Raw genomic sequence first — 20,491 nt, forward strand, 5'->3', positions numbered from 1 at the left:
TTTTAGTAGAGACGGGTTTCACCATGTTGGCCAGGATGGTCTTGAACTCCTGACCTCAGGTGATCCACCCGCCTTGGCCTCCCAAAGTGCTGAGATTACAGGCATGAGCCACCAGGCCCGGCCTAACATCTTGATAACTCACTTTCTCACATGCCACATCTGATCTGTCTGCAAATTCTACTTGGCACTACCTGCAAAATCTATCCAGAACCCCACCCCTTGTCACCACTGCTGCTCCGTCCTGGATTACTGCAATAGCTTTGTAACTGGTCTCTCTGCTTCTGCCTTTGCCCCTTGGATCTATTCCCAACATGACATCCAGGTGAGCATCGCAAAACAAAAGTCAGATTGTGTCACTCGTCTGCTCCAGCCCTCCACTGATTTCCCATCATCTCTCTGAGTAAAAGCCAAATCGTTACTGTGCCCTGCAAGGCCCGACTTGACCTCCTTCCCTACCTCGTCACCCCTGTGCCCCCCTGACCTCAGCTCCTGCCACTTGTTCACTTTGGCCAACACTGGCCTCCAGGCTATTTTTCAAACCTGCCAGGCATGTGCTCGCCTAAAAGGACACTGCATTTGCCGTTTCCTCCGCCTAGAATACTCTGTCTCCCACGTCTGCATGGCCAGCTCGTCACTTCTTTCTGGTTTTTACTTAGAAGTCAACTTCCCAGTGAATCCCCTCTAGCCACTCAAACTTAGCACCTCATATTCATTCCCCTATCCTCCTTTATTGTTATTATTTTTGGAGATGGAGTCTCACTCTGTCTCCCAGGCTGGAGTGCAATGGCGCCATCTCTGCTCACTGCAACCTCTGCCTCCTGGGTTCAAGCGATTCTCCTGCCTCAGCCTCCCGAGTAGCTGAGATTACAGGCGCCCGCCACCACGCCTGGCTAATTTTTGTATTTTTTAGTGGAAACGGGGTTTTGCCATGTTGGCTAGGCTGTCTTGAGCTCCTGACCTCAGGTCATCCGCCTGCTACGGCCTCCCAACGTGCTGGGATTACAGGCATGAGCCACCGCGCCCGGCCTCTCCTTTATTATTATTATTTTTATTACCACATGCTATGAATTTTTCTTATATGTCTGTTTTCCTTAGTAGTGTGTAAGTTCATGAGGGAAGGAATTTTTGTTTCTTCTCTTCTCTACTAAATCTCCAGCACCTAGCACAGTGTGTGGGACATAGTAGACACTCAAAAAATTCTTGTTTAGTGGATGAATCAGAGGCTACCTAGAAAGTGAAAGTGCTTCACCAATAGGAATGAATTACTGATAGTGGGCTTGCAAGCATCACTGGGAGATAGATCTTTGTAGAGGGATCCCTGAACCCATAAATCATCCCTCTCCTCTCTGGCAAAGAATGGGCACATGACATGGAAGGATGGGGGTGTGGTAGGACAGCCTCAGCCAGCTGTGGGGAGAGTTCATGTGCTGGGGCTCACCTGCGGGCCACATCTGCCCAGCTGTGGTACTGCTCCTGCCGGAGGATGTCTGCGATCTCAGCCAGGGCCTGGAAGCGCCCCTCCTGGGGCAGGATGCCAGCCTCCAGCATGCCCAGCCTCTGGACGGCTGCCTCCACTGTGGCCAGGCTGGCTGGCGGGGCTCTGGCCTGGTCTAGCACCTGCTCTGCATCCTTAAGGAAACTCTCCCGGAGGGCTGCCTTGTGCTGGAAGCGCCGGGCCAGGGTTTCTAGCCGCTGCAGCTGCAGTAGCCTCTGCTGCAGGGCCTGGCTCCTTGCAGCCTCTGCCCACTCCAGCCCTGCCCAGCACTGGGACAGCTCTGCAAGGCCCAGGCCCTCATGAGGCAGGAAGGGCCTGCGGTTCTGGGCTTGGAGTGCTGTCTGTAGCCGGAAGAGCAGGGCCTCTGCGGCCCCTCGCTGCTGTAGCCGGGGTGGCTTCTCCTGGGTGCGGAAGATGGTGAATGCTGCCAGTAGCTGCCGCATGGCGGGCAGCGAGTCTGGAAAATCCCGCGCCTCCAGCTGCATCTGCTTCTCTGCAATCCAGCGTAGAAGGTCAGCCACCAGCTGCTCGTACTGGGTCTGCAGCAGCTCTGTCTCCTGGAGCTGAAGCAGGATCTGGTGGAGGGCATAGGAAGGGGTCAGGGTCCTTCTCAGGGCAGGCCCTGGAATGGGCACTGAGTGCCAGCCAGAGTTCCCCAGGTGGGCTGTAGCTACTTCTCTGAGCCAAAGATGCTTTGAAGTGGTGGTACCCCCACCCCAGAGAACTGGGTTTGCTTGGATTGCACACTCAGACCCAGGAGCTTGGGGACCCTCTCCATGACTGAGGGTGAGGCTATCCTGCCTTCTTCCTCTTGTTTTACCCATTTGGCCTCACTGGTGGGGTTGAGGCCCTTCAGGCTGCTGTTCTTTTTCTAGGCCGCCTTTCCCTTCCCTGAGCCTCCTACCCCATAAAGCAGCTCACAGCCCTTGGCCTGTGTCACCCCCACCCACACCCCAAATGAGATACCCACCTTGAGAAGAGCACTTCCAGGCCTTAGCCTCTGCCATCGTGTCCAGAGAGTAAGGAAGCCCCCCAAAAACATGAATTCTGCGTAGCCCCCGCTGGCAGAGCCTTTTCTGTGCCTGTCCTTGCAGAATCCTGGCTCTCTAAGCCTTTTAATCCCATTAGAAGCTTAATAGCCCGAGAGTCGGGAAGAAGGGGGAGGCCCAGGAAGGGCCATTCCTCCCCTGGCTTCCCTTGTATACCAGGCACCGTGCTGGGTCCATTACCCATGCTCCCTGGAACACTCACAAGGGCCTTCTGTTATCCAGGCATCATCATCTCCATGTGATAGAGGGTGCACAGTGAAGTTGGGTGACTTGGCCAAGGCCACACAGCTAGTACGTGGCAGGGCAGGCTTCACGCTTAGGCCTGTCTGCCTCTGGAGCCCTTGCTCACCCCACCCCTCCTTTCTCCCCCACCTTAGTGAGTCTCCTCTGGACAGTCTGCCCCTGATGCAGGCGGGAGCAGTAGTGGTAGTAGAGGGAGACGTAGGTCATGATAGAGCGCTCATCTGGCTGTGCGGCTGCCACGTCCTCGGGGTCCAGCAGCTGAGCAATGCCCAGCTCCTGCTCAGCCACCAGGAAAGCAAAAGCAAGGTTGTGCAGTGGGCGGTCTGGACGCAGGGAGCCGTAGTCCAACAGGTCTGGCCTGGACAGACAGTGAGAAGGGCTCTTCACCAGCAGGAACCTACTGCTTTCCTTTAAGTAGATTCTTAAATGCACTCATGCTCCTATTGGCCATTCACATCTTCTTGTGAATTCGTTTTCCCGACAGTTATCTGAGGCCCTGTTGAAGGAGGAGGACTCTGACAGAGAAAGAGGAGAGTTCATTCGGCACAGGGACCAGGCTGGGGGGCTGGAGGAATCTCCAAAGGGCAGGTGCTGCAGGGTGTAGAACATGAATAGAATTGAGGGGCACAGAAAGTGGAGAAGGCTGGGGTCAAAGGTAAACTTGGCCAATCTCATGGCATTGTCTAGGGAAGGGAAAGGGGCTAACCCATCAGCCCTTTCTACATCTGTGTCCACTTTCCCTCCTTCAAGCCTAGGGATGTGGGAGAACGGGTGGGCTGAGGACCCAAACCCAGGAGCTGTTGGCTCAGTGGGCAGAGGCCTCCTGACAAGGGTGGGGTCACACCTGTGGGCATGGATGAGGGCATTGAAGCCCAGCCCATCGCTCCAGCTTCGGGAGAAATCTGTAATGTTCACGTTGGTGTAGCTGGCTGTCTTCCGCTGGCACCAGACCAGCAGGGCTTCCTTGGTGGACAGCAGGGCTGCGCTGGCCCCAAACTCCTCCTGGCGGGACAGGGCAGCAGGGTCACCATGCGGGGATGGGGTGGGGAGGCAGAGAGCCTGCAGGCTGTGGGAGAGGCAGGCTGGCCACAGCAGGATCCTGCTCCTCCCTGGCCCGGGGCCAGTGTGACTCTCCTCTCTTCAGAGTATCTGATTTTGCCCAATTTCATCCACGGTGGGCAAGGATTGGGGGTGAGAGTGACTGGCCTTCCAAAGAAGTGGAGCAAGGGAAAAGCCGTCACTGCAGAGGCGCTGGCTTTGTGTCACCACAGGTGATCACACAGCAACAGCTCCCGTTTTTTGAGCCCTTCTGACGGGCCAGGTGCTGTGCTAACTGACCTAGGCTCATGGGATTGTGGCTGGGCTTCATGAAACTGGGTCCCGTCACTGCAGGCTTTCTGTGAGCCAGGCCCAGTGTTATGGGCTGGAGTGCAGTGGCACGATCTCGGCTCATTGCAACCTCTGCCTCCCAGGTTCAAGCAATTCTCCTGCCTCAGCCTCCTGAGTAACTGGGACTACATGGAGGCACCACTATGCCCAGCTAATTTTTTGTATTTTAGTTGGAACGGGGTTTCACTATGTTGGCTAGGCTGGTCTCAAACTCCTGACTTTAAATAATCTGCCTGCCTTGGCCTCCCAAAGTGCTGGAATTACAGGTGTTAGCCACCATGCCCAGCCTCACTTCCTGTTTATAAACTCAAAATATCAAGGCTCAGCAGGCTGCACTTCCCCTGCCCTCTGGGCCCCAGAGCTTGGGTAGGAAGGACGTGCATGGTGCCCACATGAGGGGGAGTGGAGTCTCGAGGCCCTGGGCCCCAGCGAGGTCAGGCCCCAGTACCCTGCATGGTGGGGCCAGGCTGGCAGACGGAACTAAGGAAAATGCTGGGATGGCTTGTGAGGGATCGGGGCTAGCCTGAGCCCAAACATATCTGAGTCAGCAGGGAGCAGGGCTGGAGGGGGCTGCAGACAGACAGAGACGGTGCTGGTCAGGGAGGATGCCCACCTGCTGCTCCCAAGGGCCTGGGCTGCAGGGGACACCTGAAACTGGCCAGGGGCCTGAGGAGGTGAGTATGGCTTCCTGAAAGGGCTTGAGGTCAGTTAGAAATTCATCCGTCCCTTCAGCCTTCAAATAGATGCTCAGCCTGCAGACACACAAGACCCCTGCTCTCCTGGGGCTCAGGCCCTGAGTTTCCAGGCCATCCTGGACTTCTGCCAGATCTCTGGCTTCTTTTCATGAGGGTTTCATTCTCCAGGTTGGCTTTCCTTACCTACTAGAATTGAGTTTTAGGTGGCATTTTGGAAATCATGAAACTATGAAAAAGTATAACTATAAGGACTCTTTCTTTTTTTTTTGAGACACGGTCTCACTCTGTGACCCAGGCTGGAGTGTAGTGGTGTGATCTCGGCTCATCACACCCTCAGCATCCTGGGCTCAGGTTAGCTTCCCACCTGAGCCCTCCCGAGAGCTGGGACTACAGGCATGTGCCACAAAGAGTTTATAGTCTTTCTGATCCAGTGTGGGGGAAAGAGGTGGAATGAAGGAAGCTGGGGACCATGAAAGAAATGCTGTATCTTTGGTGTGTAGGGTGCCAGGGACTTTGTAAACCTCCAGAGCTGGGACTCCCTCCACACATTTCATTTTTCCCAACAGTACATTGTGGTGTAATGGAAGTTACAGAGCCTCAGTGCCAAGTGGGGAGCACCACACAGGGGTGAAAGTGGGTGCTGGGCAGTGACCCTGAACCCCCCACTAGTGAATGACTTGCCCAGACCTGGTTTGAAGCCCATGGCCCTGGCCCTCACTTTAGCATATTACAATGTTACAATATCTCTGGTATCCTGGGTTCTTCACCCATGGTTGGAGAGTGAATATGGACTTTGCAGTTTCCAGGATCTCCTATGGGGATCATAAAAGTTGTGTGGAACTTATGAATCCCCAGGGGTCTGAGGTGAGGCCAGGGCTGGGCTGGGTCACCAGGTGCTGGGTACTGGGGACTGAGCCATACCTTGTCCAAGGAGATGTGGGAGATCTGGAAACGCAGAATGATGACCCAGATGAGTCCCAGGATGAGTGTCTGGTCTCCGTCCACGATGTTCTCTGGCCCGATGAGTGGTACTGGCACCTGTGGGCACAGTTGGATGGGCTAAGCCATGAAGCCCATGTCCAGAGAGGACTCAGTCACCAAAAGCTTAGGGGGCCAGCTGCGGGATGGGAGCATCCTGGAATCTATCCTGCCCCAGCTGGGAGTTCCCTCAGGGAGAAGCAGGCAGGGGATAAGTCCAGGAAAGCAAAGGCTTCCTGCCTGGTTGGAGCCATGGCCTCAAGCCCACCTGGGTGAAGCCCCAACCTGGTGAACTGGGCTGGGCCCTCAGAGCAGGAGGACTCCCTGTGTGTGGGCTACAGGTAGACCTGGGCCAAGATCAGTGGTTCAGCTGCAGGGTTTGGAAATGAGGGGTCATAACAGTCAATGTGTGAGCCCAACAGACAATAGCAACTGTCTGCCTCCATCTCCCAGGGTGTCCTGGGATCTTCAGGGGGTGGCTGGGTCCCTGGGCTCACACCCAAATCTCAGCCCTCTTCTTCTGTTCCGGCTCCAACAGGGCCAGCTATAAATCCAGACTCCCAGGCTCCACCCAGTCAGACTGTCTTGGGCCAGAGCCTGGGAATTTGCACTTGAACAACACCTTGGGTGGCTCTTAGGTACACCAAAGTTGAGACTCCTCTGCCCTACATCCTGCCATTTGGACAGGGAGGATGGGTGAGTCAAGGGGAGAAGCCCTGCAGGATCTGGCCCCCAGCCCCCTGTGGCTCCATCTTCCACCCTGTGGAATCACATAGCTCCAAGGCCCATGGGATTCTTATAGTTCCATGGGATTCTAAGCACAGGACTTCAGGCCTTTGCAGGGCCGTGCCTGCTGTCTGAAAGTATTCTCCCAGGTATCTGCATGGCTATTCACCTCCCTGCCTTTAACTCTTCACTCAGATGTTGCCTAGCCTGACCACTTTATTTAACACAGAAACTTAAGGACTATTTCTCCCACCCAAATACACACTCTCGATCCCCTTGCCCTGCTCAAGTGAGGATCTTGGCTTTGTTTTCTGGTGTATCCTAGGGGAGTGGCACACAGCAGGCAATCGATCAGTAAGTACTGAATGGAGAAAGAAAAGGAGTGAGACTTTCCATAAGACCTGAAGGGCAACTGGCTTCAGCCGGCCACTACTAGCCCTGTGGGAGGAGCTGCAATCCTGGGTGTCCCCCTAGGTAAACTTTGGTATATCTGGCTGGCCTCTAAAGGATCCCACCCATGCTCCTGGGGTGGATTCCACCTGCCATGTCAATCACCTTGGCTTAGAGTTGGAGCCTCTGGTGAGTGGGGTGTTTGTCTGCTCCTCCCAGCTCCTGAGAGCCTATCCTCCTGACTTCCTATTGAGCGATGTCACGCTGGTGGCTTAAACTCACCGTGATGGGGGGTATTAACGCCATAGGATCAGCGAATACAGCACACTGGAGTTTTTATTTCCCCCAGAGAATCATTTGTTAAACGTTTACCAGCACACCGCTGATCTGGGTTCAATGAATCTGTCTCCCTTTGAAGCCAGGTGCCTTGAGGTGGGGGTCTGGGCTTTGCTTAGTGGAGCCCAGCGCCTGCATAGAATGCCCAGGGCATGGGAGCATCTCCATAAGCGAATGCATCCCTCATTCTGCCACACATTCCCTGTGTGTTTGCGGCAACTCCGTCATCCTTTCTAGACCACAGTTGCCTCCTATGTGTATGGAGACAAGGATGTCACCCTCACAGGTATCAGTGACATGCTGTATATTAAAGCTTGGGGAGAGCTGCAACACCTCTGACAAAGGCTGTGGGGCTTACACCCTTCCCCAGTTCCTGGAGGGGAGATGACTGGCTCACAGGGTCATTGTCCCTGGATCAACTAGGGCCCAGCATTCTGCAGCTGGCAGCGTTCTGCTCTTGCACCTGCTCAGGACAGCAGTCACTCCCATTCCCTTTGCTTGGGCTTCTCCCCTCCCTGGCTTTCCTCCAACACACCCCAGGAGGCTGGATGTAAGCTCCACTCCAGGATATAGTGATAGGCACGCACAGTCAGGCTCCATCCAGCCAGGCCCAGCTCAGTGACTTCACAGCCTCCAGGGACAGCCACCTCCAGGAGCCCTTGGCCTTCACAGTTCCCGGTTTCCAATGATCCCTTTGCCCCACCCCACCCCTGCACCAGCCCCTCACCCTGGCCATGAGGGTCCCTCTGTCCCTGGAGCTCCGGCCTCCTTTTAGTGCCCATCTCCTTAGCCTGTCCCTTTCTTTCAGGTGACTCTGCCTCCCCCCATTTGCTGAGGCCTCCTCCCTCCTTCTCCAAGACAGGCCCTGCTCCTCTTCCCCACCTGCCGTCTTAGTCCCACATCTGGGCTCTGTTGGCTGGTTAACCATCGATCTTGCCTGGTAAATAATTCAGGGCCTCTGTTTCCTCATCTGTGAAATGAAAAGCCTAAGAGAACGCTAAGATTCTTTTGGCCTAGAATCCTGTGAGTCTCTCTTATGACAGACAGTGACATTTTCCACCCCAGTAGGGACCTGGATTGCTACTGCCATGGCCAGCTGGGTGCTCTCCAAGTCAGGGGTGCTGTGCGAGGAGGGCGTGGCTTCTGCTCCTCTGTGTCCCAGCCACTCCTCCTGTACTCAGGCCCCAGCTCCTCTGTTCTGCCCAGTGGCCTGGCGCAGGAAAGGTGACCCAGTAGTTCAGCCTGTCCCAGCTGCCTGCCCCAGCACCATCCCAGACCCCTTTCCCTGGGGCCCACCTTGGCCCTGAGGAAGGCCAGAGCTCGGCTGCTGTTCTCCAGGAAGTGCACACGCAGGCGGCCCCGGCTCGGGGGTGGCAGGGCCTCCCCTGAGATGAGCTCCAGCAGCCGCAGGAGGTGGATGCCGTCAGCCAGCTCTGTGTACAGGTTCCGGATCTTGATGCCCGCCTGGGGAGGGGACAGGGGTAAGTATGGGGTCAGCCCAGCCTCACCTGTCCTCCCATCCTGGGACCTGAGAGGTACGACCCAGAGCAGCTGCTTTGGAAGAAGGAGCTCTGGCCTCAGCTTGGCCTCAGGCAGATGACCCCACAGCTCACCCCGGAGGCCCACTGGCCAGAGCTGGGGGCCTGGTATGGGTGGGCTGTGGGTCACAGCTGGCTATACTCACCTGGCCGCACTGGAAGACGTTATTGATCCACTTGGTGAAAGTCTTCTCCTGCATCTGCATGTGCCGGGCCTGTAGCTTGCGAATGTGGCCCGTCTCGTACTGAGAGTCCATGGTGAGACTTGGACTGGGCGGGACCCGGAGTTCTGTGCTGGGCCTCCTGCTGCGGTGCCCTGCAGCCCCGAGGAGCTCCCGGGGACTGTGGGGCTGACCAGCCATCAGCCCTGCAGACTTTGGGGATGAGGAGCTGCTGGATGGCTCCCTAAACCTGGAGGGCATGCAGATTAGGGGATGATGTGAATGGAGATGGCCCCTCTACCAGGGGCCTGGGGTCCCGCCTTGCCAGACTGTCCTCACATTTCATGGGGGTTGCAGCTTGGAGCCCAGCCAGGTAAGGGCCAGTGCTTCTGGTCCCCTGTGCTTGAATGGCCCAGGGCCCCCTTTGCCCCACCCCACCTTCCAGATTCTTCTTCTCAGAGCCCCTGCTGCCAGGTCCCTCCACCACAGTGACTGGGACAGGTGGAAGGAAGACAGGAAACTGCTTACCTTGGTGATGCCTGGGTCCCACAGAGACGGCTCTGCTGGACGGATGGAGATGGTAGATAGCAGGGGCTGCTTACCTTGGTGATGCCTGGGTTCCACAGAGGCGGCCCAGCTGGACGGATGGAGATGGCAGATAGCAGGGGCTGTGGAGGGAGGGAGAGGGACATCAGGAGAGGCCAAGGCTGGAGCAGGGCTGCACCACAGCCCTCCCCTTGAGCCAGCGTGCTGGGGTGACGGCACACAGGCGGCATTGTCCTCCCACCTGCCACAGGGCGTGGCCCAGACAGGGAGGGGGTGGTTCAGGAATGCTCCAGGGCCATTGCCAGATGATGTCCTCCTTCATCATCCTCCCTTCCCCGCCAGCAACTTCTCCAACTCCAGGTGGGGGTCCTGGCTCCCAGGACGCAGAGGCCCATGGAGCGGCCCTGCCACCGCATGGGGTGCTGCAGTCTGCGTAGGAGGTACCAAAGGGCAGAGCCTCTGTGGGAAGCCTGTGGACGCACTTCCCAATCTGAGACTGCCCTCTGTACCCTCTTGGGGCCTCTCTGTGAGCACCCAGGGCGAGGGGATGAGGGAGCGTCCTGGGCCGTGGTCTTCTCATTCACCCCCAGGGAACAGCCCATAGACTGAGGGCCTCACAGACCCTGGGCTTGGCTTTCCAGGCCCTGCCAGAGTGCAGCCTGCCTAGCCCGGGGCTGAAGGGTAGGCTCCCTGGAGGAAGGGGTGACCTGGAACTGCGAGGGCTGTGGAGTCTCCTCCAAAATTAGAGACACGGTGTTAACTCTGGGCTCCACAGAGCTGGCCGTGGCCCGGGGCTCGGAGGCAGGGGTGCAGAGGGAGCTGGTGGGCGCCCATCCCTTCCTCCCCGAGCAGCCGTGGACTACATGCCAGAGTGAAGGCGAGTTCTAATTCTGGGGGTCTCACCCGCCTCTGGCTAAACTCAGGGTAGCAGTGTGGGCTGGGGTGTGTGTGTGTGGGTGTCTTCCAGCGGCCCTGGAGCCTCTGAAGCGACAGCCCGCTCCTCAGGGAGGCGCTCCTGGCAGCCACAGCCCACAGCAGGACAGCCGCTCAGCGCGCCCTTGAGAGCTGGGCTAGGGATGAGTCACACTTGAACCGCCTGGGCCCACTGCAGGCAGTCAGGGGTGACGCTGAGAGGTGCCGTGGTCTCGGGTGGGGTGCGGCTTCCTGCGTCTGAGAGACGCTTCCTCTCCTGCTGTCCTCTCCCTGCCAGGCCCCTTCTGCAGCGGCTGGCTTCCAGACACCCTGCGTCCCTCCCTTGCTCGCAGCAGTTGCTGTGGCGGTCCTCCCGTGCACCCCCCCTTCTGCCCTCACTGCCCCTGGGGGTCCTCATCACGGACCCCCTAACTCGGCATCCTGGACACCACCACCCCGCACCTTTCCACAGTGCAGCTCTGCTCGTGCCTGTGAAGCCTCCCACAGCCTGGGAAGGAAAATCCAGACTTGCCAGACCTTGCCTCAGCCAGGCCTTGGAAGCCTGCCAGCTTACCTAACCAGGCTAGTCTGCCCCCCTCACTCTGGGTGCTCTCCATGGGCCACTCACCATTTCCTGAGCAGGACCAGAGCTCTCCTGCCCCAAGGCTGGGCTTCAGCTGCTCTTTCAGCTTTGAACGTCCTTTCCCATTCTCCATCATCCACATTCACCTATCCTGCCTGCCCCAGTTAAAATCCTGTTTCTTCTAGGAAGTCCCTCATCCCACCCGCTTACCCCAGGGAGACTGAGCTTGTTCCTTCTCCTAGTAAGACCCTCAGCCCATGGAGTCCTGTGTGATGTTGTGAGCGTGGGAGGACAGACTGAACTGCTCGGCCCGTGGAGTCCTGTGTGATGTTGTGAGCGGGGAGGACAGACTGAACTGCGTGGTGCTTCGCACATAGACCTCAACAGGGATTGGCATTTTGAAGCTGTTGGCGGGGGCTGTGGACTGCTTTTCTTCCTTTCTAGCTCAACGGCAGCTAAAGCCACTGCATACAATGCAAGGACTGGCTCCTGTTTGGCCACGACTGATTGCAGCCCCTGGTGAAATGAGAACCCTGTGGGTCGGAACAAAGTTTGGATTATTTATGTTGCAAGTAACTAAAATCTCAAGTGAAACTGGTTTAAACATTATATTTTTATTATTTATTTATTTATATTTAATTCTTTTTTAGAGACAGGGTCTTCTTAGGTTGCCCAGGCTGGTCTTGAACTCCTGGCCTCAACGATCTTCCCACTTCAGCCTCCTGCATTGCTGGGATTATAGGTGTGAGCCACCATGCCTGGCTTACACAGTATAAAGGGAATGCATTGGCCCACACAGTGGAAAAAAATATCTAGTAGGAATAGGAAGGACTTCAGGTGAGGTTTGATCCAGCAGCTCAAATGTTGTCACCACAGGCCTGGATTCCTCTGGCCTTTCTCAAGGTCTCTTTCATTTTCATGCTCCACAAGATGGCTTCTGCCAGGCTGACCTCCCTCCCCTGACCCCAGCAGCTCTGGACACCCCTCTCAGTGCCATTTATATTGTTGCATCAATAGGCTCATTTCTATATACTGCAAGGTTCAGAGAAGACAGAGTATCTCTCTCAAGAGTTCTAACATAAGTCTGGGGGTCCTGGCTCTCATAGGCTTGAACAGGGCCACATGTCCATTCCTGAGCCAATATTTGTGACCAAGGGGATGTGGTCAATCTCATCCAAACCTCACTTGAAGTGAGGGTGGGAGGAGGAGTGCTCTGCAAGGAGACTGTAGGTCTGGACCACCAAAAAGGTAGATGGGTTGGTGGGAAAAGCCAGATGCCTACTATGGTAGTGGGCGGGGGGAGGGCACACTGGCAAGGTACAGCAAGAGGCAGGGGCAGTGCTGGACAGGCAGGGGCTCCTCCCTAGCACGACTGGAGAAAGGACTCCTGTGAAGCGGTCACCTCCATGAGTCCCTCCTGTCCTGGCTTCCAACCACTCTGAAGTGGGGCTTTTGTCCACAGACCTGGCCTCTGCTGCCTACCCTCTTCTGTCCCCACCTGATGGGGCCGCTTTCCTTCTGAAGCGGCTGCATTTTGGGTTTCTCTCCACAGGAAGAGTTGGGGCTCACAGGCACACCCTCTCCCTAACTCTTCTCCCCCGGTTCAACCTGGATCCAGGGATCCACACTCTGCTCCGAGAGGCCAGCACGCAGCCACTGGAAAATGAGCCAGTGGGAGAGGGCAGCTCCATGTTTATTGATCAGCAGACTATGTCTTTTTGTTTGAAACTTCTAAATAAGATTACAAAAAGAAAAAAAATAGAAGCATTGCGTATTAACTGCATTGGTTAACCAACATTGGAACCCAATACTCTTGTATTAGGCCCGCATTTACCTGAGTAAACTCAGTGGTTTTCTGTCCTAAGCATGCTTGCCTGCTACATCCCATGGAGAAAATAAACAGTGAAACACTTTCCTCATCTTCAAGGCAATTGTCTCAGGCATCCTCCAGGCATCATGAAGGAGGGTGAGCGAGGGTGCGAGGTGGAAAGGTCCAGGCCGCGGCTGTGACTCCCGCGGGTGAACCACAGCTCCACAGCCCCAAATCCAAAGATGCTCTTGCTGCAGCACGACAAGTGTTCAAAAGAGAACCAGGCCCAGCCCGGAGAAAGGAAAGCCAAAAGCCAACTGAATGAATGACCCTCCCCCAGAAGAGCAACCCTGCCCCCAGGCCATCCAAGTGCGGTGAGTTGAGAAATGAATTGACAGACGCTGCAGGGCTGGAGCAGGAGGCGGAAGCAGGTTGGAAGGCTGTTGTGTGCCACCCCTCCCTGGGAGCTGGGGAGATTCCCAAGTCTTAGTGCAGTGTTTCTCTACAAACGGGGTCAGGAGACCCTCACTGGCAGGCTGACAACTTGGAAGCAGACTGTGGGAGCAATAGGCTGGAGTTTTCATTTTCCCTTTAAACTCAAGACCGGAAGGTTTGTGTTATGCGATACCATATGCTGTGTAGAAAACAGGGCCTCAGCTTCTTAGATGTTGTAGTTCTAGAGTTTAGGTACTTCCACCCTCTCTCCTATACATAAACACTCTGTGGAAGAGGTTCTTTGAAAATTGGGGTGGTGCAGGAAGGGCAACGGTGATGGTGAGCAGGCCCCAGGGTCGGCCCTGCCGCCCTGCCGTGTGGGGTAGGGAGACAGCTGGTGGTGTGGACACATTCACAGAACTTTGTACTGGTCCTGGGAAGATACAAGTCCTCACTTGGTCGCCATCCCTCATATTTTCTAGTGTTTTCTTTTCCAGTCAACTTTTCTTGATGAATGACTGCATGTAAGAGGATATTAAGAAAAGTGGCCAAATGATTTCCTTTTTTTTTCCTTTCTCTCCAAGAACATTACCAGGTGCCAGCAGGGAAAGGACTCCGCTGCCTGACGCCTCTCCCACCTGAGAGCGCAGAGGTAGGGAGATCACAGTGCCTGAGAGGTTTTCCTCCACGGAGAAATCAGAGACCTCAACCTGCTGCCCTCTAAAGCAGCTTTCTGTATCCAGACAAAACTTACATATGTACACGTTGTTTTAAAACGACATACTCATGTGACACACATGTATATAAATTCATGTTTATATATGACAATTGAGGAGAGTTAAAGAACAAGATAATTCTGGATGGAAAAATCAGTTTGCCTGGGCATCTGTAAACCTTTGGGCAAGTGAATTCCCTCTTCTCTCTCAGTTCACCCTTTGGTGACCTCCACCGTGGCTGCAGACTTCAGGTGGTCCTCACGCATTCACAGAACTGTCTGCTTAGGTTACAGCACTTTGGGAGGCCGAGGTGGGTAGATCACGAGGTCAGGAGATCGAGACCATATTGACCAACATGGTAAAACCCCATCTCTACTAAAATACAAAAATTAGCCGGGCGTGGTGGCGGGTGCCTGTAGTCCCAGCTACTTGGGAGGCTGAGGCAGGGGAATCACTTGAACCTGGGAGGCGGAGGTTGCAGTGAACTGAGATTGCGCCACTGCACTCCAGCCTGGGTGACAGAGACTTCCTCTCAAAATAAAAATAAAAATAATAAAATAATAAATGGTTCTTTTCTATGCGTCTAATGAATTTAAGTGCTTGTTAAGACTAAAAACCATGTTATGCATTTCCTGCTCTTAAAACTAAATTATGTAGAAAGTAAGCTAGGGAGTGTAAGGGTAGGCATCTGGATATAAATGCTTCTCCCAAATCAAGATTTTCTCTTCAATCTGTGCCTTTGACCCTGTCACCAAAGGCAGGTGACAGAAAAAAAAAATTATGTGCCTTTTGGAAGACTCAGTGGGACGGTTCTGATTTCATTCACTTCTGGTGCCAGCAGGCCCCCATACCATGTGGCCATTGCTGTTTCGTGTCTCTTCCTGCATAAATAATGCAGAGAGGCCATGCAGGTATGCAATTTTCTGGAGATGAGGCAGGGAGATTTGCAAGGAAAAGTCACCTACCTCCCCAAGCTGGTGCCCACAGAGGGGGAGGCACCTCCACCTGACGCAGGTGTCTGAGCAGCAGTCCAGAGAGGTTTACTCAGGGGATTTGGGGAGCGCACACTCTGGAGCAGAAGTACAGGTATGTGCCCGAATCCTGCCTCGTGATGGGCATTCATGATACGAACCACACAGCCTTTAAAGAAAAGGTTTTATATGAAAGGTTCCATTTTGTTTCTGTATAAAGGCTTTTATCCTGTAAGGAAAAAAAAAAAACACAAAACCCTAGACATAATAAATGCCTGTTTTCTACAAAAACAATGTCTAACTCTGGGTGGACTGATCTCTTCTCAACAGCCCAGGGCAGGGCTGGTCCCTCATTCACCTGTGTCCACAGGGCCGAAGACACTGCACACACTAGGACAGGATTTGATTGAATTTAAATCCTGCCACCCACCAAGGAGACCTCGGGATATTTAATGTTTGAGGGCCACACTAAACGATCACTGCAGAGAACCACCTCTTTTCTTTACTGTAGTTTAAGTATGATAAGTGGGCTTTGCTATTACTTATTGGAAAAACCAGTAAGAAAAGCTAATTTTCAGGCTTCAATGTGATTTGACATGCAAACGGGAAGTTTTGCCAGGGGTTAATAAAGGTTGTGAATTCCAAATTCCTAGCCGAATATGGCTTTGCTGGTAAGCCCCCTGGAAGGGAGGTTGGGAGGGCTGACCAGATGGTCATCGGGGCACTGGGATGGAGGCACGCTGGGGCCTGACTGCCTGCTCTGCTGGAGACTGCAGAATGGATGGCAGATCCACAGTGCATCCCCCTTCCAAACCCAGGAGGCATCTGTCGCCTTCTCTTTGGTAGACAGTCTGGAGACAGCAGAAACCCTCTGCTCTATTTTTTTGCCACTCTAAATATAGCAGAAAACAAAATAAAATAAATAAGATAATCTTTGCTGCCTCCAGGTGCCCTCTGAGGGACAGACAGCTGCTCCAGAGTTGTTCATGAGGACAAAAAGCCCAGGCAGCCTGGAGACCCAGCTGCTCTGGGTGAGCCTTAGCTCACTTCCTGTGGTTCCTGGGACTTACCAGGCCCACCCCCATGCGCATTTCTCCAGGCAGGTTCTGAGGACTCTTTGGACAATTTCTCTTTCTTCTCAACCCTTCAATCTCCTAATCCACCCCCCTACCCCCAATATTTTCATAGAAACTAAGGGAATTTTGGAGGTGAAAGAAGTCATCTAGTTTCCAGTGTCCACCCTCCCCATTCTACAGATGGGGAAACCAAGGCACAGAGAGGGCAGTGCCTTGCCCAAGGTCATTCGGTGAGTCAGTGGTGGAGCAGGCCTGAGGCCCAGGTCCCCCAGTTCCCACCCCGTTCTGCAGCCCACCCCTCAGTCGGCCTTGGGCAGGGACTTCCTGTGCGAGGGGGGCACGAGGTGGGGGGGCAGGCTGCTGGGCAGCTCGTAGCCGTCGAGCTTGATCTTGATGAGGTGCTTGGCCAGCGCGAACTCCTCCTCATCAAGCATGCCGTCGCAGTCGCAGTCGGCCAGCTTCCAGATCTTGCCCAGGACGCTGTTGGGCAGCTTGGAGGTCACCATCTCCTTCTTGGCGTTGACACCTGATATCTTGCCATTGATGGGCGACAGAGTGTAGAAGAGCTCGTCGTAGACGGGCTTGTCTTTGGCCACGACCCACTCCTCCTCGTCGGCGCCCTCCTTGGCACCCTCCCCGTAGCCCTGGTTGAAGGGGCCCTCGGTGGTGCCATCGAAGGCGCCGCCCTGCACCAGCTGCGTGGGCGTGCTCGTCTCCTCCTGGCTGATGAGGTTCATGAGGGGCGAGATCTTGTTGCTCAGCATGTTGTCCACTGCCTCGATCAGCTTGGGCTTCAGCGAGTGGAATTTGGTGAAGTCATAGTTCTCAAGCTGTTCCTGCAGAAGGACAAACCACAGGATGGGTTACATGTGGTCTCTTCAGGGGGAAACAGTTGGGGGCCACTGGAGGGAGACTAATTCTGCCCCAGGCAGACGTCCCACCCACTACTCAGGAGTGCACTCTTTGGGAGCTTCCCACATCCAGATGTACCACATATAGGAGTGGTTGTTTTGGAACAAGAAACAAGTGTTTTTCCTATGGCAGCCAATCTCTGCTGGTGGCCGCATGAGCGACAGCAACCTCCGAGGACTCTGAGAAACCTTCTTTCACCTGCCTTTTTAAAAATGCTCTAGAGTTAGTATTCTATTTCTCAAGGGATTTCACTACACACTTCAGCCGATCTTCATAGCAATCCTGGGAGGAAGGAGGGGCAGGCATTTAGAACCACATTTTACAGAGAGCTGTGAGGGGCTGTCTGGCAGAGTCAAAGCAGAGCCCCTGTCTCCTGGCTCTTGACTAATGCTCTCTGTGCTGGAACACAGAGCTGTGACAGAAGGACTATGTTTACATAAAACAACTAATTAAATACCTTGTTTTCGGAACACGTAAAAAAATGTAGTGTAGGACAGCTTCTTAGTGGCTCTAACCTCTTATGAATGAGCTGAGGGCGCTACTCAACAGGAACCCCGTAGGACCAGCCCCACCAAGTACGGCCTGACCAGGGGCACCTGTGCTACCCCAGGAAGGTATCGAGGCAGGGCCACGGAGACCTTGCATATACAACATAATCATCATGAATCCACTGTCATTTCTAAAATATGGACAAATAAGCAAAAGCTGGAACTTGTAAGAGCAGGGAGTAGGGCTGGGGAGCACGAGGGAATAAACGTAGCTGGTAAGCCTGAGTATCACTGGCCAGGTCAGGACATATCTTAGCTCTACCTGTTGAGTGAGGCAGCCTGTCAGCAGACAGAGCAGCAGAAGCACAGGCTCTAGAGGGGGCCTGGGAAACACTGTGACTGCCCAACCAGGCTGGGGCAGACTACAGGATGCCACAGAGGCTCTGTGGATGGCACCGTAGAAACTGACCTTCCTACCTTGGTTCTCCTTGGTTACTCCATCCATCCATCCATCCATCCATCCATCCATCCATCCATCCATCCATCCAACAACCCACCTGTCCAACTAATCCTCCAACTAACCATCCATCCATTCAACCAACCCTCCATCCATCCATTCAGCCAACAATTCATCCATCCATCCACCTACCCGACCAACTTTTATTTGTCATTTACTCTGCACCAGCCCCTGTTCTGGGGCTTGGGGATACAGAATAAATATGAAAAGCCATAATTCCTGCTTTAAATGAGCTTATGTTGTAATGGAGGAAGGATACTCCAATTGTTTAAAAAAGGACTTGACATAACACAGTGAAAAGGATAACATGAAATCTATAAAGTCATTAGAAAGAAAAAAGCCAAGTCATTAAAAGGGAGAGAGGGGCCAGGCTCAGTGGCTCACACCTGTAATCCCAGCACTTTGGGAGGTCAAGGTGGGAAGACTGCTTGAGCCCAGGAGTTCAAGACCAGCCTGGTCATTAGACCCATATATATATATATACATATGTATGTGTATACATATATGTATGTGTGTATATATATGTATGTGTATATATATGTATGTGTATATATATGTATGTATATATATACATATGTATATATATATGTTAGGGAGAGGAAGGGAATAATCACATCAGATGGCTAAGGTTAAGGAAAACTACCGCCTGTATAAGGAGAAGAGCTCAGTTGCCCAGGGGGACCCCTGGGGACCCTCACTGTCTAAGGAGAGAAAACACTTGTTTATTGCAAGAGACAAACTTTCTGTGGCTCTGAACTGCGAGAGTTACCTAGAGCTTTACATGACAGGCTTCAAAGATCTGATGAAAAGTGTCTTCAACAGTAGTTTTATTAAATAAATGCAGAAATGTTCCAGGTATGGCAGGTTTTATATGTGAAGTATTTCTGTATGTACAGTTCTAGAGGGGGCCAAAGAGAGGCCATGCAGGTGTGCAATTTTCTGGAGATGAGGCAGGGAGATTTGCAAGGAAAAGTCAGACCTCGCTGTTTTGGACAGAAGCAATGTGACAGGCTGCTAGGAAAAAAAAAAAAAAACTTGGTGTTATCATAAATATCATGCTTTCTTGTAAAAAAAAAAAACAGAAAAAACTGGTAAGCAAAACTAAAAATTTAAAATAATTTATAATCTCATCATCTGGCAAAAACCTCTGCTAGCATATCTGGGCATGCATTTCTAGCCATTAACATACATACACACACACACACACACACACACACACACACACACACTGAAACAATACCACACTCTTAACAAATAATATGTCATATATTTCTGTGGTATTAATTTTTACATAACCTTTCTCTTAACAGTTACAGAATATTGAACTTAGACTGTAGAGCTGGGCCATTCTTAATTAACCCTGTCCCCTATAGCTGGACACACAGGTTGTTTCCAATAGAGAATCAAAATCATGGTCTCTAGGGTGGCAGGGCAGGAATTCTGGGCTGACATTTGGAAGGGGATTCCTGGGTGGTAGTTGGTGGGGGGACAGAGCTGAGAAATATCAGCTAAACGGGCTGACATTTCTCTAGGGAAGGGACTCTGACATATTCTCAGGAAGTAAAGTCAGCAGCCATCAAACCATGCAAACCCAGCGTGTGGCCCCTGCTCAGCTCAGAGCAGCGGGTACTGCAGGCCGGGTCTCTCAAACGCAGTCACTAGCATGTCACTCCTGACATCAGCACCAAACAATGCGGCCTGCACTTCGGGCTCCTGCCACCAACATCTCAATGGGCCAAGGAGATGGAAAAGAGAACGCTAAGCAGGTGGAGGAGCAGGCGTCCCCCACAAAAATCCCAGTGCTGCTGGGTCAACGAGTTTGGATTCCCCGGGTGCGTGAACACCTACCCCATTTCCTTAAGAATGAGCCTGCGCTCAGAGCGCACACAGAGCCCCTGTGTCTGGCCCAGCAGACAAAGGAGGGTGATGCCTGCCCAAACTTCCCACCAGCCTGCAGGGGCCGTGGATTCCGACTGCAGAGCTCTGGAAAACTGGCAGGGGGAGTGGCCGCATATTTGCAGGGGTGGACAGGAGGCAGCAGTTATTCCTGTCCTGGGAGGCAGGCAAGAAATAAACCCTCCATTCTCATCCCTGTGGTCCCCCCCAGGCTTGACCGGGGACTGCGGGGGCACCAGTTAAACCATCATCATGTCACTCCTGACATCAGCACCAAACCATCATCATCCCTGCCCTCTGCCACGGTGAGTCCAAAACAGTTCTTATTGGGATGAATACACACTGGGGAACTTAAAGGTATTTGCCCATCAACAGTTGTATCCACTAAGCCAGGACCCTGGAATTGCTCCCTCTCAAGAGGCAAAGGTCAGTTCCCAGCCCCGTCTCTGGTGGGGCTGTCCCTTGCCCATTAATTGCCAACATTAACCAGAAGAGTTTTCAAATCCACCAGAGGGTCTGAGCAGATGGGGCTGACTCTGCTGCCCTCTGCTGTTGAAATGCTGCCAACTCATGAGCTGAGGGGTCCAAATTCTCCTTCCAGTCAGAGGAGCAGAGTCAGCAGTAACGGT

The 20,491-nt window shown here is 53.5% G+C and overlaps 2 protein-coding genes and 1 long non-coding RNA gene across 7 annotated transcripts in view, besides 4 other annotated features; 1 reads left to right on the top strand and 2 right to left on the bottom strand.

Moving 5' to 3' along the window:
* Window positions 1–9,757, bottom strand: part of SPTBN5 (spectrin beta, non-erythrocytic 5) — a 45,908-nt gene extending 36,151 nt beyond the window's left edge. For 2 of the 4 annotated variants that reach the window (XR_001751302.2, XR_001751303.2), the window contains exons 1-6: window positions 8,986–9,250; window positions 8,598–8,765; window positions 5,793–5,909; window positions 3,632–3,789; window positions 2,917–3,145; window positions 1,439–2,070 (exon numbers count right to left, since the gene is read on the bottom strand). Coding sequence is in view for 2 of the 4 variants with exons in the window: in XM_017022299.2 (XP_016877788.1) it covers window positions 1,439–2,070; window positions 2,917–3,145; window positions 3,632–3,789; window positions 5,793–5,909; window positions 8,598–8,765; window positions 8,986–9,261 (1,580 nt within the window). In the remaining 2 variants the exon portion in view is untranslated. Of the gene's footprint in view, window positions 1–1,438; window positions 2,071–2,916; window positions 3,146–3,631; window positions 3,790–5,792; window positions 5,910–8,597; window positions 8,766–8,985; window positions 9,262–9,602 lie in introns of those variants that run through there. The other 2 variants (NM_016642.4, XM_017022299.2) reach the window with 2 other exon arrangements.
* Window positions 6,473–7,348: an enhancer, noted in NCBI's record as "NANOG-H3K27ac-H3K4me1 hESC enhancer chr15:42182967-42183842 (GRCh37/hg19 assembly coordinates)". NCBI's record gives its function as "activates a minimal SCP1, AML or CMV promoter by ChIP-STARR-seq in naive H9 embryonic stem cells {active_cell/tissue: H9 hESC(naive)}" and the evidence as "EXISTENCE:reporter gene assay evidence [ECO:0000049][PMID:30033119]".
* LOC105370792 (uncharacterized) lies at window positions 8,481–14,519 on the top strand. Its single transcript, NR_135681.1, has 4 exons — window positions 8,481–8,782; window positions 10,931–11,040; window positions 11,284–13,225; window positions 13,871–14,519. It is a non-coding gene; the product is annotated as an uncharacterized LOC105370792 (long non-coding RNA).
* Window positions 8,542–8,601: an enhancer, noted in NCBI's record as "active region_9287". NCBI's record gives its function as "activates an Ori minimal core promoter by ATAC-STARR-seq in GM12878 lymphoblastoid cells {active_cell/tissue: GM12878}" and the evidence as "EXISTENCE:reporter gene assay evidence [ECO:0000049][PMID:35858748]".
* EHD4 (EH domain containing 4) overlaps window positions 11,637–20,491 on the bottom strand; it is a 76,625-nt gene continuing 67,770 nt past the window's right edge. For both annotated transcript variants that reach the window (NM_139265.4, XM_047432408.1), the window contains exon 6: window positions 11,637–16,885. In NM_139265.4, coding sequence (NP_644670.1) covers window positions 16,349–16,885 — 537 coding nt within the window. In that variant the 3' untranslated portion in view covers window positions 11,637–16,348. The remainder of the gene's footprint in view (window positions 16,886–20,491) is intronic.
* Window positions 19,328–19,832: an enhancer, noted in NCBI's record as "H3K27ac-H3K4me1 hESC enhancer chr15:42195822-42196326 (GRCh37/hg19 assembly coordinates)". NCBI's record gives its function as "activates a minimal SCP1, AML or CMV promoter by ChIP-STARR-seq in naive H9 embryonic stem cells {active_cell/tissue: H9 hESC(naive)}" and the evidence as "EXISTENCE:reporter gene assay evidence [ECO:0000049][PMID:30033119]".
* Window positions 19,833–20,336: an enhancer, noted in NCBI's record as "H3K27ac-H3K4me1 hESC enhancer chr15:42196327-42196830 (GRCh37/hg19 assembly coordinates)". NCBI's record gives its function as "activates a minimal SCP1, AML or CMV promoter by ChIP-STARR-seq in naive H9 embryonic stem cells {active_cell/tissue: H9 hESC(naive)}" and the evidence as "EXISTENCE:reporter gene assay evidence [ECO:0000049][PMID:30033119]".

The sequence above is a fragment of the Homo sapiens genome, chromosome 15 (assembly GCF_000001405.40).
Source record: "Homo sapiens chromosome 15, GRCh38.p14 Primary Assembly".
Taxonomy (NCBI): Eukaryota; Metazoa; Chordata; class Mammalia; order Primates; family Hominidae; genus Homo; species Homo sapiens.